The sequence below is a fragment of the Homo sapiens genome, chromosome 22, assembly GCF_000001405.40.
Source record: "Homo sapiens chromosome 22, GRCh38.p14 Primary Assembly".
In the NCBI taxonomy this organism is placed as follows: domain Eukaryota; kingdom Metazoa; phylum Chordata; class Mammalia; order Primates; family Hominidae; genus Homo; species Homo sapiens.
This window is the reverse complement of record NC_000022.11, coordinates 45,388,608-45,404,660: the sequence shown is the minus strand read 5'-3', so window position 1 is coordinate 45,404,660 and position 16,053 is coordinate 45,388,608. Positions and strand designations below refer to the sequence as shown.

General features: G+C 39.8%; 1 protein-coding gene across 5 annotated transcripts in view; it reads left to right on the top strand.

Moving 5' to 3' along the window:
* SMC1B (structural maintenance of chromosomes 1B) overlaps positions 1-16,053 on the top strand; it is a 69,537-nt gene that overhangs the window by 8,939 nt on the left and 44,545 nt on the right. For all 5 annotated transcript variants that reach the window (NM_001291501.2, NM_148674.5, XM_011530144.3 and 2 more), the window contains exons 5-10: positions 2,090-2,328; positions 5,308-5,566; positions 8,175-8,315; positions 9,894-9,976; positions 10,820-11,027; positions 14,764-14,949. In NM_001291501.2, the coding sequence (NP_001278430.1) occupies positions 2,090-2,328; positions 5,308-5,566; positions 8,175-8,315; positions 9,894-9,976; positions 10,820-11,027; positions 14,764-14,949 (1,116 nt within the window). The remainder of the gene's footprint in view (positions 1-2,089; positions 2,329-5,307; positions 5,567-8,174; positions 8,316-9,893; positions 9,977-10,819; positions 11,028-14,763; positions 14,950-16,053) is intronic.

Below are 16,053 nucleotides of genomic sequence, written 5' to 3'. Positions count from 1 at the left end.
TGGCAATTGATTGAAAGAGTTTTAGCTAAAGACCTGGAATCAATAGAAAGGAAATGTCTGGATTAAGATAACGGATTGTAGAGACCAATGTTCTTGTTATGCACAGGAAGCCTCCAGGTAGCAGGCTTCAGAGAGAATACATTGTAAATGTTTCTTATCAGACTTGAAAAGGTATGGGACTCTTAGTTGGTTGTCTCCTGGTTCAGGAAAAAAGGTTTGGAAAAGGGAAAGGGGATTCTCTACAGAATGTAGATTTTTTTCCCCACAAGAGACAACTTTGCACGGCTATTTCAAGATATGGCAAAGAAACATATTTGCAGTTAAAATATTTTAATTTCCTTCCTTATCTGTCATGTGATACTATGCCAGCATCAGGTTGGAAAGTAAGCTATATGATATAGGGTGAATAAAACCCCTCTGGCCAGGCATGGCGCCTCATGCCTATAATCCCAACACTTTGGGAGACCGAGGCAGGTGGATTACTTGAGGTCAGGAGTTTGAGACCAGCCTGGCCAACATGGAGAAACCCTGTCTTTACTAAAAATACAAAAATTAGCTGGGCGTGGTGGCACATGCCTGTAATCCCAGCTACTCAGGAGGCTGAGGCAGGAGAATCACTTGAAGCTAAGAGGCAGAGGTTGCAGTGAGCCGAGATTGCACCACTGCACTTTAGCCTGGGCGACAGAGTGAGACTCTGTCTCAAAACAAACAAACAAACAAACAAACAAAAAACACCCTCTGATGAAACTTTGTAGAGCAGACTCCCCAGGCTCCTTAGATAGAAATTTGGGCAAGAGAAGAAAAAAGATCAGAGTTTAGTCCTTGTGTTTATTCTCTGACTTTTCTTCCTCTCTTCTCCCCATTAGAATAACTGTAATATAAATTGCACAAGAGCAGGGTTGGGCTGGGTATGGTGGCTCACATCTTTAATCCCAGTACTTTGGGAGGCCAAGGTGGGAGCATCCCTTGAGCCCAGGAGTTCGAGACTAGCCTGGGCAACATAGTGAGACCTCATCTCTACAAAAATAAAAATAAAAAACTTTGCCTGGTGTGGTGGCACACGCCTGTCTTTCCAGCCACTCAGGAGGCTGACACAGAAGGATCTCTTGGGCCCAGGAGGTCGAGGCTACAGTGAGCTGTGATCGTGCCATTGCATTCCAGCCTGGGTGAGAGAGCAAAACTCTGTTTCAAACAAACAAACAAACAAACAGGATCAGGGATAGTCTGTCTTATTTTCTGCTATATTCTCAATGCATAGACCAGCACCTGGCTCATAGTAGATACTCAATACATATTTGAAGAAGTAAATGGAAAGTGGATGTTTCTTATTAGTGATGTTTCTCTGTGTCTTCATGTTTTCTAATATGTATACATGTCCTTGGTTTTGTTAGTGGAAAGGAGTGGCAGCAGTGGAAGTCAGACTATAATAATCACAATATACTGAACTGCAAAATTTAAACATTTTAAGGACAGTTAGAACGAAACAACTTCCTAATTGTTTTTTACAACATCCTAGTGGATAGCCTGTTACTTTGAATACTTCCAATATTGATTAGGAGCTCCTCTTGAGGTAGCCTGTTCCTTTATTTCTTTAATAGCACAAATGTTAAGGAAATTATTATTTTTCACATATAATTTAGCACTGTAAGAGTCCTGTTTTATCGGTAGAAAAACTACTTCCTGTAGTAGGAATTTTTCCTGGAGTCATTGAATTTAAAGTTACTAGCACCTTATAAGTCATATCACACTCTTCTTTCAGTTTACAAAGGAGGAAGCTGATGCCAGAAATACTGATTGAGTTGTGAAACTCACAGGTCCAGACAAAAGGGACCCAGGCTAATGCATGCCACTTCTTTGTTCTCATCATCATACCACTGAGCGCAAGAACACAAAATCATTTGCTGGTGTATTGGGTTATTTAAAAAGTATATTCAGAAACCCTCGCCAAATTATGCTACTTTTGGCAAGAACATTATGTCCTAATAAATAAACATTCATTAGTTAATTTGTTGGTATAGTAGTTGAGTTTATGAAAGGCCAACTTAAATACACTCCCTTTTAACTGCTGTTGAATTATACTCTTTTATAGGCAGAACGTTACCAGAGTCTCCTTGAAGAACTGAAAATGAACAAGATACAACTGCAGCTTTTTCAACTATACCATAATGAGAAAAAGATTCATCTCCTGAACACCAAGTTAGAGCATGTGAATAGGGATTTGAGTGTCAAAAGAGAGTCTTTGTCTCATCATGAAAACATAGTTAAAGCCAGGAAAAAGGAACATGGAATGCTAACTAGACAACTACAACAAACAGAAAAAGAATTAAAGTGAGTTTTTAAAAGTAGATATTAACAGTTGGGTTATATGTAGCTTGATAGAGGGAATAATATAAGTGACACTTTGAAAATTGATTTTAAAAATAAGCTTTTTACTTTGGAATACTTTTAGATATACAGAAAAATTATAAAGATAGTATAGGCCAGGTGTGGTGGCTCATGCCTGTAATCCCAGCACTTTGGGAGGCTGAGGCAGGTGGATCACGAGGTAAGGAGATCGAGACCATCCTGGCTAACACGGTGAAACCCCGTCTCTACTAAAAATACAAAAAATTAGCTGGGCATGGTGGCAGGCACCTGTAGTCCCACCTACTCGGGAGGCTGAGGCAGGAGAATGGCATGAACCTGGGAGGTGGAGCTTGCAGTGAGCCGAGATCACGCCACTACACTCCAGCCTGGGCAACAGCGTGAGACTCCATCTCAAAAAAAAAAAAGGTGGTGTAGAATGGTCCTGAAGTGGTGGTGTTTGGGGTAATACCCGAGGTTCATTGCCTCACAGCAAGGAAATCAAGGATGCAGACACACAAGGAGTGAGGTTAAGAGTGGGTTTAATAGGTGAAAGAAAGAGAAAAGCTTTCTCATGCAGAGAGAGGGGCTCCCAATTGGGTCTTCTGGTCCACAGTGAAGTACAGGCGGTTTTATAGATGAGCTTGAGGAGGCGGTGTCTGATTTAGGGCATGAAGGGTTGTTCAGATCAGGTATTCCATTTGCATAGCACGTGAAGAACCGCTTAGGACTAGATGTGCCATTTGCATAGTGCACAAAGAAGCTGGCCATCCCACCCTAATTTTTTATTATGCAGATTCTGTACCTGGCTGGCGCCATGTTTGCCAGCTTTTCTACTGTACACGTGGTGACAAAGAAAAGGGAAGATGGAGCCTTCATGTTGAACATAGCTGGCTTCTGAGTACCCCTTTTCTATTGGCTCAGCTGCCGGCATTCACTCGTGTAAGCTTCCAGCTTGCTTATGTACCCCATTTGTAGCCTAATTTTTCAGGCTCCTCTTTGTTAGAAAAGAAATGATTTTGGGGCTGCTTTTCGTTAAAAGGGAAGCTCTGCTGAGGACTCTCTTAACCTTCACTATCTGCCTAAATAATTTATTTTTAGCCCCTGTATCAGTCCCATATTCCCAACACTCAGTTTCTCCTATTATTAATATCTTACATTATTATGATACATTGTCAGAATTAATAAACTAATATTGATACATTAACTAAAGTCCATACTTTATACATATTTTCTCAGCTTTTGCCTAATGTCCTTTTTATGATCCAGAATACCATATTACATTTAGTTATATGTCTCCTTAGGCACCTTTTAGCTGTGACAGTTCTTGTTTTTGATGAACTTGACAATTTTGAGGAATATTGGTCAGTTTTTTTATAGAACATCTTTCAATCCGGATTTGTCTGATGGTTTTCACATAATTAGACTGAAGATACAGACTGTGGGGAGGAAGCCCACAGAAGTAAAATGTCCTTCTCATTATATTCTATCAGAGTGTCAGTGTATTATATATGTTACATGACATTTATCATGTACTATATCATGTGTCATATCAACATGGTATCACTGTTGATGTTGACCTTGATCACCTGACTGAAGTAGTTTTTGTCATGTTTCTCCTCTGTGAGGTTATTTTTTCTCCCTTTTCATACTATAATCTTTGAGAGGAAGTCACTATGCTTAGCCCACACTTAAGGAGTAAGGAGAGTTATGTTTTACCTTGAGGGCAAAGTATCTACATGATTTTTTTGGAATTCTGCACAGATTTGTCTCTACTTAATTATTTTAAAATTAAATTAATTGTTATTTGTTTACATCAGTATAGATTTATGGATATTTTACATTTAGAGTTATAATCCAGTATTACATTGTTGATTTTGTTGCTTAGATTGTTCCTGCTGTGGCCACTGAGAACTCTTTGAGTTGGCTCCTGTGTCCCTTTGAAATATTCTCATTACTGTGATTTTTTTTTGGAGCTCTTCCTTACTTTCTAGAAGATAAGTATCTTCTACTGTCATCTTGTATAAGCCAGTCCAAGCATCAGCTTGCCCCAGCTTGTATGAGCCTGCCCCAGGCTCTCCAAGGAACCCTGGTTCCTTTTATCGGAGAACAGTATTAGGAACCAACATCTAGGTGGTAGGTGTGTTCGTTGCTACTGGAGTGTCCTTGCTTCTAGGCTTTCTCAGCTGTTGGAACTAGGAAATACCTGTGTATACTATTTATACACATAGCTATAAATATTTTCATATGTGACCATCTATATTAAGCTAAACATGAGTTCATATTGATGTCTCCCAATTCTAAGCCATTACCACATTAATCATTCTAGCCTTCTCTTGCTTATCTGTAACCTCCCACTTCAACAATGGGAAATCTGGCTTCTACCATCTGCCATCCATTTGCTTAATTGTGCATTTCCAGTAATCACGTGTAATAGCGTCAGAATTGTTAACCCGTACCCCCATGGAAAGCATCTTTGTAACTACAGTATAGTACTTATATACAATTCTTTTGCTTTTAGTCTTACAGACTCCACTCATTTCTAGAATTAGGTCAGCATGTTTTCCTTCCACCCCTTCAGTAAGGCTGTTTCTACATTTATAATAAAGTTAGATTTTTTATTGCATTCTACATTCCATATAGGATCCCTTAGCCTCCTGAGTGATTCTTTTTTAATTTGCTTACATTAAGGTTCATCCTTGGTGCTGTAAAGTAATACAGGTTTTGGCAAATTCATAGTGTCAAGTGTCTACCACTACAGTACCACTCTCAAAAGTGACCGTGTGCTTTATTCATCCCTCCCCCTGACCTTGCTCAACCTTTGGCAACCATTGATCTGCTTACAGTCTCTGAAAGTTGATTTTTAGGATTTCTTTTTTAAAGTGGTTTGATCAAAACAACTTCTTCCCTTTATATATTAAAGAAATGAAATTTTCTTTAAAGCAAACATTTTTCCCTTTTCAGATCGGTTGAAACCCTTTTAAATCAGAAGAGGCCTCAGTACATTAAAGCCAAAGAAAACACTTCTCACCACCTTAAGAAATTAGATGTGGCTAAGAAATCAATAAAGGACAGCGAAAAACAATGTTCTAAACAGGAAGATGATATAAAAGCCCTGGAGACAGAGCTGGCTGATTTAGATGCTGCATGGAGAAGTTTTGAAAAGCAGATTGAGGAAGAAATTTTACATAAAAAGCGAGACATTGAACTGGAAGCCAGTCAGGTAAAAAAGGACAACTTAGGGGAAATCTTGTGTTTCTATTATTTCAGCTGCTTTGAATTAGAAAAAAATTTAAAAGATGACCTCTCTGATATTTTAAGAGATTATCCTCAATGTAAATTGTGGGGATTTAAATTTTTCAGCCTGTATACAGAACTAGATTTATTTATTTTTAATTTTAATTTTGTAGAGAGAGGGTCTCGCTCTGTCACTCAGGCTGGAGTGCAGTGGCATAATCATGATGCAGGATTTTTTTTTGTTTGTTTTTGAGATGGAGTTTCGCTCTTATTGCCCAGGTTGGAGTGTAATGGTGTGGTCTTGGCTCACTGCAACCTCCGCCTTATGGGTTCAAGCGATTCTCCTGCCTCAGCCTCCTGAGTAGCTGGGATTACAGGCATGCGCCACCATGCCTGGCTGATTTTGTATTTTTAGTAGAGACGGGGTTTCTCCATGTTGGTCAGGCTGGTCTCAAACTCCCGACCTCTGGTGATCCACCTGCCTTGGCCTCCCAAAGTACGGGGATTACAGGCGTGAGCCACCATGCCCGGCCGATGCAGGATTTTTCTCAGTCACTTTGTCAGCCAGAGACCCTCAGTTGGTGACGCCCTTGCTCAGGCCTTGCTTGGTCCCACGTTCACTGCAGGAGACACCCTGTCAGCCTGCCAGGCCGCACCTGGCCTGCACTCTGGCGCGAATCCCACAGCTGCCACGACTGCTCACTCAGCCCCCAGCAGAAGAGGGTGTGTGAGCGAGCAAGTTTAGTTTCCAGCCAGCTGTTCCAAGTACCGGCACAGAAGCAGGCTTCATGTGGTGCTTGGAGCTGGACCAGGTGTGTTGCAAGCCACTTCCACAGTGGGCTCTGGCGCCCAGATGAGGGGAACACAGTGGCACCCAGGCAAGGGTGCTCCTGACCCCAAAGCCCCAGAGGGGGTGTTACAGTGTGCTAATCAGCTCTTTAGTCCTGTCTGCAGCCTGAAGGATGCACGTCCGAAGGCATGTTAACAGCTCTGTCAGCCTCTTGACCCACTCTGGCCCTCAGCTCTGGGGCTTGCTCGGCCCCACCACTGCTTCCTGTCATGTGGGGCAGCTGCCCTCTGCCAGCAGAGGGCAGAGGGCCACAGTGTTTCAGCCTTCTGTGTACCCACGTTCAGTGGGTCCTCAGTTCTTGTCCTGTGTCTAAGAAGAATGAAGCTACACTGGCAATCGAAGAGTGAGGAAGGCAAAGAAGAATTTTATTGAGCTATGAAACAGCTCTCAGCAGAGAGGGGATGCAAGAGGTCATCCACTACCTGAAGTCAGGTGGTTTCTCCCCCAGTGTAGCTGGGTCTGGGGCTTTTATGGACTCAGAATGGAGGAATGTGTGCTGATTGGTTTGTGAGTATGCAAAAAAAGGCTAAAACAACGGCACCACCCTAAAGTGGGTACAACAATGTGAAAAACCAATTAGGGAAGGGTAGGTGTATGTAAAATAGGTGAAGGGTAGGGATCAATCAGAGGTAAGCACACCAAACAGCAAGAGAGTTTCTCAGTCTTGTCTGTGGATTTACCCAGCACTTGTAGCTAGGCTTTAAACTGTCTTTGGCTTGAAGGTCAGGTTTCACTGGGGACCCACCCCTGTCTGTCTAGGATTTGTCTGTCTCCTGCTGCTATCAATCATAGTTCACTGCAGTGTCACTCCTGGGCTCAATTGATCCTCCCGTCTACAGGCGCATGCTACCACACCTGTCTAATTTTTAAATTTTTTGTAGAGATGAGGTCACACTGTGTTGCCTAGGCTGGTCTCAAACTCCTGGGCTCAAGTGATCCTCTTGCCTCGGCTTCCCAAAGTGCTGGGATTACAGGCATGATCCACTGTGCCTGGCCTAAAAGACTGTTTAAAATAGAGCAACAAAAACCTCTATACTAAGGTCTCTGTCCAAAAATCTTAAAAGAGAAAGGAGAATCCAGAGAAAATGATATATTTTTTTCTACTTATATAGTTATAATTATTTTGGTATATATAGTCATAATTGTTTTGGTATTTGGTATATTTGTGATATAAGATTATCATAAAATTGATAAAAGAGATAAACGATAAAAATGTGGTTGTTTGTCGATTACATGTTTTTGCCATCTAGTGATTTATTATAATTAAATCTTGTATAATAAGTTAGAGATTAATTCATCACTGAACATTTTAAAGCACCTTAAGTAATCAGTTTCCTTCTTGTCAATTAAGTGATCATGTCTCCTCAAAGCCACATGTATCTTTAAGTGTTTATGAGAGGAAAAAATGATTACCTTATGAATAATAAGATAAACACTTGAGCCCAGGAGGCCAAAGCTGCAGTGAGCCGTGATTGTGCCACTGTACTCCAGCCTGGGCAAAATAAAAATAAATAAATAAATAAGTTTCAAATATAAATAAATAAATAAATAATAAACAGTTTTTTTAAAGGAAGCTTTCATGCTCACATTATTTTACCGGGGGAAGGTGGTCGATTATGATTTAATTTATATAAAGCAAGCTTTTGGGAAGATTAATTATCTTCTAGTACAGGATTTCATACAAAGAAATTTGCTCTCATGCTTCTTAAGGTGAATTAGCAATTTTTCAATACTGTTTATGCAGCTGGATCGTTATAAAGAACTTAAGGAACAAGTAAGAAAGAAAGTAGCTACAATGACTCAACAACTGGAAAAACTGCAGTGGGAACAGAAGACAGATGAAGAAAGACTGGCATTTGAAAAGAGGAGGCATGGAGAAGTTCAGGTGTCTTGGGTTGTACAGTAATGATTTAGAATCATTCTTAATGAAATTTTATTTCCTTTTTGTACCTGTCTCCAGAATGAATCTCCTTAACCTTACACTATACTGTCTCATTTCATTTATTTCATGATTTGGCAGATGAAGATACAAATATAATAGCCATAATCTGTGATAGTTCTGTGAGTAGAAGAGGCATTTTGTGCAAGGAGAAAAACAAAGGTGGTAACATAGCAGGAATTACTTTTAAAACATTTGTATAATTGTGTAATTGATATGTTATAAAATTATACACTGATTTATGAAAATACACATTGGACATTTTTGCCTTTGTACATGCTAGTTTCTTTTTGGAATAACCTATTCATCTTTACATGTTAAAATCTAGAGTTACCAACACCGCAAAGCCTTCCCTGGCCCTCCTTTTCTTTATATCCCAGCTCCTAAAAAAGCCAAAAATAATTTCTTCCTCATATAACTACCTATTATTATTTGATACGGAGTTTCGGTCTTGTTGCCCAGACTAGAGTGCAATGACGCGATCTCGGTTCACTACAACCTCCGCCTCCCAGGTTCAGGCAATTCTCCTGTCTCAGCCTCCTGAGTAGTTGGGATTACAGGCATGCGCCACCATGCTTGGCTAATTTTGTATTTTTAGTAGAGACAGGGTTTCTCCATGTTGGTCAGGCTGGTCTTGAACTCCTGACCTCAGGTGATCCATCCTCCTCAGCCTTGCAAAGTGCTGGGATTACAGGCCTGAGCCACCGTGCCCAGTCAATTTTTTATCTATATCTAAGGGCTTTTGTCAGATCGCATAAAAATTAAAATTAATTGGTACCTCTCTACTGGACTGGAAGCTTATTAAAGGCAGGATTCTAATTGTGTCCATTGTAAACCTTGCACTTAGTAGATGTCAATAAGTGTTGGTTGAATTGCTGTTGTCTTTTGAATACAAAAAAACAAGAAGAACACATGTAGTTGCAGACAGATGGAGAAGACTTGTGGTAGTCTCCAGTTGGATTTAATGATAAAGTGAATAGAACAAAACTTTCCCGAAATCCTCATCCACAAGGCTATTAGTTGCCCTACAGGTGCCTATATTATTATAACACAAAACCACTCTACTATAATTACTTATTTAATTATCTGTCTCTCCTACCAGACATTAGTTCTTTGAGGGCAGGGACTCTTTCCTGCTTATTTCTGTACCTCTAGTTCCTATCACATGGTAGCCAGTGAATATATTTAGATTGTTGCAAAAGTAATTGCAGTACTTTTGTACCAACCTAATATATTTGTTCAGTACATTAGTTAAGGGGTAAGAACTATATAGATATTTGAAAATAATCTCCTTGAAGTTTGAAGTTACAGAGAGAAATCGCTAGAGATCAAATATCTAGCAAATGGTAAAGATTCAGGAGTTGAACCCTGATCTGTAATTTGCTCTGATAAGTGTTTTCATATAATTATATTTGATATCTTTCAATTTTATAACAGCTTATAATATTATAGTAAGTTCTAGGCATGTAATTTTGTTGGTTTGGAATTGCCGTAATTGATTTTAGATTTTATTTCCTCTTTTAGGGAAATCTAAAACAAATAAAAGAACAAATAGAAGATCATAAAAAACGAATAGAGAAGTTAGAGGAGTATACAAAGACATGCATGTAGGTAGAGTAAAAAAAATTTCTTGCAGCAATTTTCTTTTATTTTTTGAGAGAGGGTCTCACTCCCATCGCCCAGGCCAGAGTGCAGTGGCGCAGTCATGGCTTACGGTAGCCTCAACTTCCGGGGCTCACATGACGCTCCTACCTCAGCCTGTAGCTGAGACTACAGGCACATGCCACCACACCCAGCTAATTTTTTCTATTTCTGGTAAAGATGGGGTTTCACCATGTTGCCCAGGCTGATCTTGAACTCCTGGACCAAGCAATCCACCCTCCTCGGACTCCCAAAGTGCTGGGATTACAGGTGTGAGCCATCGCACCCCTTGCAGCTTTCTTATTTATGTATTTCTTCCTTTTTTTTTGAGACAGGGTCTCACTCTCACCCAGACTGGAGTGCAGTTGCGTGATCATGGCTTACTGCAGCCTGCACCCACTGGGCTCAAGTGATCCACCTACCTCAGCCCCCTGAATAGCTGGTACTACAGGTGTGTGCCACCACACCTGGCTAATTTTTTTTTTTTGTATTTTGTAGAGACAGGTTTTTGCCATGTTGCCAGGCTGGTCTCAAATTCCTAGACTCAAGCCAGCCACCCACTCAACCTCTCAAAGTACTGGGATTACAGGAGTGAGCCACCTGGCCCAGCCACATTTTTCAAATCAACAAAGAATGAGCAAAATCTTTTTTGCCCATGTTTGGTGTCAGGTTTATTGCATTTTTTACCCTTTAAAAATTGATAGAGCACTGCTCTATTCCCCTGCAATGCCAGACAGGAGTATGTTGTACCTGGTAATTCCTAAATTTTGGTTTATCATTTTGCTGTATAATTTGTTGTTATTTTGTAGGGATTGCTTGAAAGAGAAAAAACAGCAAGAGGAAACCCTAGTGGATGAAATTGAAAAAACAAAATCAAGAATGTCTGAAGTTAATGAAGAATTGAATCTTATTAGAAGTGAATTGCAGAATGCTGGGATTGATACCCATGAGGGAAAACGTCAGCAAAAGAGAGCAGAGGTTCTGGAACACCTTAAAAGACTGTACCCAGATTCTGTGGTAATGAGAATGAATAGTTAATTTAAACAAAAAAAACTAAGCTTTCCTGTTTGCTTTCAACAGTATCTTCTCATTTGGGATTAGAAATATTACCATTATTACAAAGCAATATTATTTCAGACATCTTTAAGTTTTGTGTTTGACTCTTTATATTTAAAATGTGACAGTAACTAATTAGGGTAAAACTTCCAGTAGTAGCTGTAGATAACGTAATTATTGGGGAGAAGCTTGACATGAACATAGTACCCAGAAAGTTCAAATTGTGGCCAGTATCCCCAAAAGGACCTGGATGCTGTGAAGTACTCTGAGCCACCCAGACACATAGCCTCAAACCTCATGTTTTTCATGGTTTTATTTGTTTTTGAAATATTTTTTCAGCAGACATCATTGGCATATTTTTATTCTGTAAGTATGACTGTGCATCTGGTATTGCTAGTGTATTTCATTAGCCAAAATACAGTATCACTTGTTGCTTGGGGTGCCAGCATCACAAGATTATTTCCTTTTGTATCGGGGTGGCATCTGATCCTCTTGTCCCTAACATCAGTGTATACTGTGCAGTCCTTATTTTATGATATGGCCTGTTTTCAGCATTTGAGACTGGTAACCACTGCTCTGTTTTGAAACACCTACCGGCCAGGGCAGTGTCTCACGTCTATAATCCTAGCACTCTAGGGGGCTGAGGCTGGTGGATCACCTGAGGTCAGGAGTTTGAGACCAGCCTGGCCAACATGGTGAAACCCTGTCTCTACTAAAAATGCAAAAAGTAGCCGCACATTGTGGCAGGCGCCTATAATACCAGCTCCTCAGGAGGGTGAGGTAGGAGAATCGCTTGAACCCGGGAGGCAGAGTTTGCAGTGAGCTGAGATCACACCATTGCACTCCAGCCTAGGCCACAGAGTGAGACTCTGTCTCCAAAAAAAAGGAAACATCTACCATTGGCCTCCATATCCACACTTTCATGGTTTTCCTCCTATGTCTCTGGCCACCCATCTTCATCTCCTTTATAGCATCTGTTTTGACTTTCTGACTCCTAAATGTTGGTTTCGACTTCTGGATAATGATGGAGGAGTAAATCTAGGTCACAAAATCTAGATCCCCCAATTCCTATCCAAGTGACAAAAACTAGTGAAACACACACACACACACACAACTAGTTAAAAAAAAAATCGACCTGATGCCATAAACTTTAGAAAATGGTGATAATCTAGGATTTAAAAAAAAAAAAAAGTATTGAAGTATAGCATTGCTTTTTCTCAACTCCACAGAAGCTGAACTGATAAATTGACTAATTCCTGAGAATTCTCACCTAGTATTCCTTGATCTAGCAAGAAGCAAACTCACATGTATGTGTTTCCTTTTCCTCTTCTAACTGGAGAGAGATTTAAAAACTGGTGAACTGGGTGCCTGTAATCCCAGCGCTTTGGGAGGCCGAAGTGGATGGATCACTTGAGGTCAGGAGTTTGAGACCAGCCTGGCCAACACGGTGAAACACTGTCTCTACTAAAAATACAAAAAATTTAGCTGGGCGTGGTGGTGCATGCCTATAATCCCAGCTACTTGGGAGGCTGAGGCAGGAGAATTGCTTGAACCCGGGAGGCAGAGGTTGCAGTGAGCACCACTGCGCTCCAGCCTGGGTGACAGAGTGAGACTGTTTCAAAAAAACAAAAACAAAAAAACACTGGTGAATTGGGGAATGTGAAGCTCATATGCTCTCTAATGGAAGTGAAGACCCAAGTTCTCACTTACTAGGGCTTTAAAATTGAGAGGCCATTTTGAAGCCCTCTCTTCAAGATGGGATTTGTCCTCCTCCCTCAAAGTAGAAGAACCTTGGTATGGGATATTAATTAAAAACTCAGACGAGAGAATTCAGGTACTTAAATGAAGTATGTTCTTTAAAAGTCTTAGGTGAGTTCTCACTTGCCCCTACCATCCAATCCCTTACAAGAAAGTAAACAGAATAGGAAATACTTATTCTATCAACTGTTGCTCGGAGGAGGTGATTGTCTCACTTCTGTGAGAAAGGGAATTAATAAAAGTTATCCGCCATAGCAAATCAAAGATCTGAACAGAGCTACTCACATTAAACATAAGCAAAGTGAAAAGAATCACTGTGGCAGCTATAGGTACATATAATAACAACAAAGAGAAAGAAACTATTTTAAAACATTTAGAAGTCAAAGAGCCCAGTCTAGAAGGTTACAGAACAAAATCCCCATAAATGTTTTGCACTATGGGCAATTTAATAAGAACTTGAATTTATAAAACTAGATTCAAATATGAGGTAAAACAATAAGATAAAAAGGAAAATGTAAGCTGTGAAAACAAATCAAGAATAGGCATTATTACTGAATAATTATAGTTAGCATGTAAGTAATAAATAACATAGACAAATTAACAAATTAGAAGCATTAATAGCAAGAAATACTAATAAATTAGAAGTAGCTGCCAGGCGTGATGGTGTGCGCCTATAGTTTCAGCTACTCGGAGGCTGAGGCAGGAGAATACTTGAGTTTGAGACCAGCCTGGGCAACATAGCAAGACCTCATCTCTTTAAAAAAAAAAAAAAGGTAGCAAATAATGGATTACACAGCTGAAAATCAAATTATTGACCCTGAAGAAAGGCCTGAGATAATCACAAATTAATGGAGAAGAAAAAGTCAAAGATATTTAAACAGCAAAGACAGTGATGGTTTATCATAGGAAAATGGTATTCTTGAAGTAGAACCTAACAAACGGAGGAAAGAGTCCAAAGATACAAAATTAAACCTTCAAATATTCTAGAGACCACTGATACATGATGCTTGACATTCAAACATTTTCTAGTAAAGTTTTTGAACTTCAGTCTAATTAATTCTTGACCATTCTTCAGGTCTCAGCTCAAGTAACACTTCATGGAAATCCTTCCTAGACTTTTTTTTTTTTTTTTTAAGATGGAGTCTTGCTCTGTTGCCAGGCTGGAGTGCAGTGGCATGATCTCGGCTCACTGCAACCTCTGCCTCCCGAGTTCAAGCGATTCTCCTGCCTCAGCCTCCCGAGCAGCTGGAACTGCAGGCGTGCGCCACCACGCCCAGTAATTTTTGTATTTTTAGTAGAGACAAGGTTTCACCATGTTGACCAGGATGGTCTCGATCTCTTGACCCCATGATCTGCCCGCCTCGGCCTCCCAAAATGCTGGGATTACAGGCGTGAGCCACCACGCCCAGCTGGAAATCCTTCCTAGACTTCTTATACCAACCTGGTCCCTGTTAAATATTCTCAGAGCACTCTCTGTCAGTGTCTAGCTCCATTTTGTACATACATGTGATTATTGATTATTTATGTCTTCCTCACTAGACTGAAAATTCTGTGAGGTCAGAAAGTATCTGCTTTGTTCATTTATGTTTTATCCAGTATCTAGCTCAGTACCTGCAATAGTAGGTCCCTTATAGATTCTTGTTTAATAGGTCAGGGAATAAATGAATATTATTTAATTGTGTAGTTTTAGAAAATATTTTAATATTTTGGTAAGGCTAGTCCCTCTTTGTTACTCTTTTTTTAAATGAAGTGTTACATAGCTAGATGGACATTGCATAATGAAACTTAGGTCTATTTGAATAAAACTCTATTAATTATGATGTATGTAATTTTATAAAATTAGTTTTTGTCTGCGCTACTTTGTTACATTAGAAAATAATGAATTATATATTTCACTCTAATATATCTGTTTTTCTCTCCTTTTTTGAAACCTGCTAAGTTTGGAAGACTATTTGACCTGTGTCATCCTATTCATAAGAAATACCAGCTGGCTGTTACTAAGGTTTTTGGCCGGTTCATCACTGCCATTGTTGTAGCCTCTGAAAAGGTAGCAAAAGATTGTATTCGATTTCTGAAGGAGGAAAGAGCTGAACCTGAGACATTCCTCGCTCTAGATTACCTTGATGTAAGAACTTTGTAATGCCTGGTATTTATAGTGATAAAAATCTTGTCTTTTAAAGAATGATCTTATTGCCTAAAACTATGATAGTGATAGAGAAAAATTGTAGCTTGGATGCCAGTTAGGCAATCATTTTAATGGCTGGTGTTAAATATATTGGCAAGCAAAGAATAATATCAAGTGGCTACTCTCTTTCTTGACATCATACCATTTCTTCCCTATCTAGTTTTTACAGAATTCTACCTTTGATTTCATTGCACTAGCAGTGCACCACTCTACCTATTAGCCAGCAATATATTCTGTCCTATATAGCAAAGTATAGGAAATGGATAAGACGTATGGTCTGTTGGAAATGCCAACTCAGCCTCAATTGTAAATGTTTGACCCAGTGTGTTAGCTCTTTGTGGAAAAGGCTAAATTTTGAGCCTTGAGGTATGTATTGAGATACCTTAACATATCCTGAGTCTAAATTCATGAAGCAGGAACTCTGTCATATCATGATTGATATCCTTCAGTGATTTTTCATTGATTACTCAAGAAAATGTTCTCTTTGGTTCACCAGTCAAGACCCTGAATTGCAGGCAGTCTGCGTAATAGTTAAGAGCACATGCCTTAGAGCTGGACTGCTCTGAGTTTGAATCTCAGCCCTACTTCTAATTAGCAGTTACTTAATATAGTCTTAATTTTTCTTTTTTTTTTCTTTTTTCTTTTTCTTTTTTTTTTTTTTTTTTGAGGCAGAGTCTTGCTCTTTCGCCCAGTCTGGAGTGCAGTGGCACGATCTTGGTTCACTGCAGCCTCCACCTTCCGGGTTCAAGCAATTCTCCTGCCTCAGCCTCCCAAGTAGCTGGGTTACAGGTATGTGCCAGCACGCCCGGCTGATTTTTTTTCTTTTTTTTGTATTTTTAGTAGAGACGGGGTTTCTCCACATTGGTCAGGCTGGTCTCAAATTCCCGACTCAGGTGATCCGCCTGCCTCGGTCTCCCAAAGTGCTGGGATTACAGGCGTGAGCCATCACGCCTGTCCTATTCTTAATTTTTCTGAGCATCAGTTTTCCATGTGTGGAAATGGAAGAATTAATTCTTACCTTATTGGATTGCTACAAGGAATTGT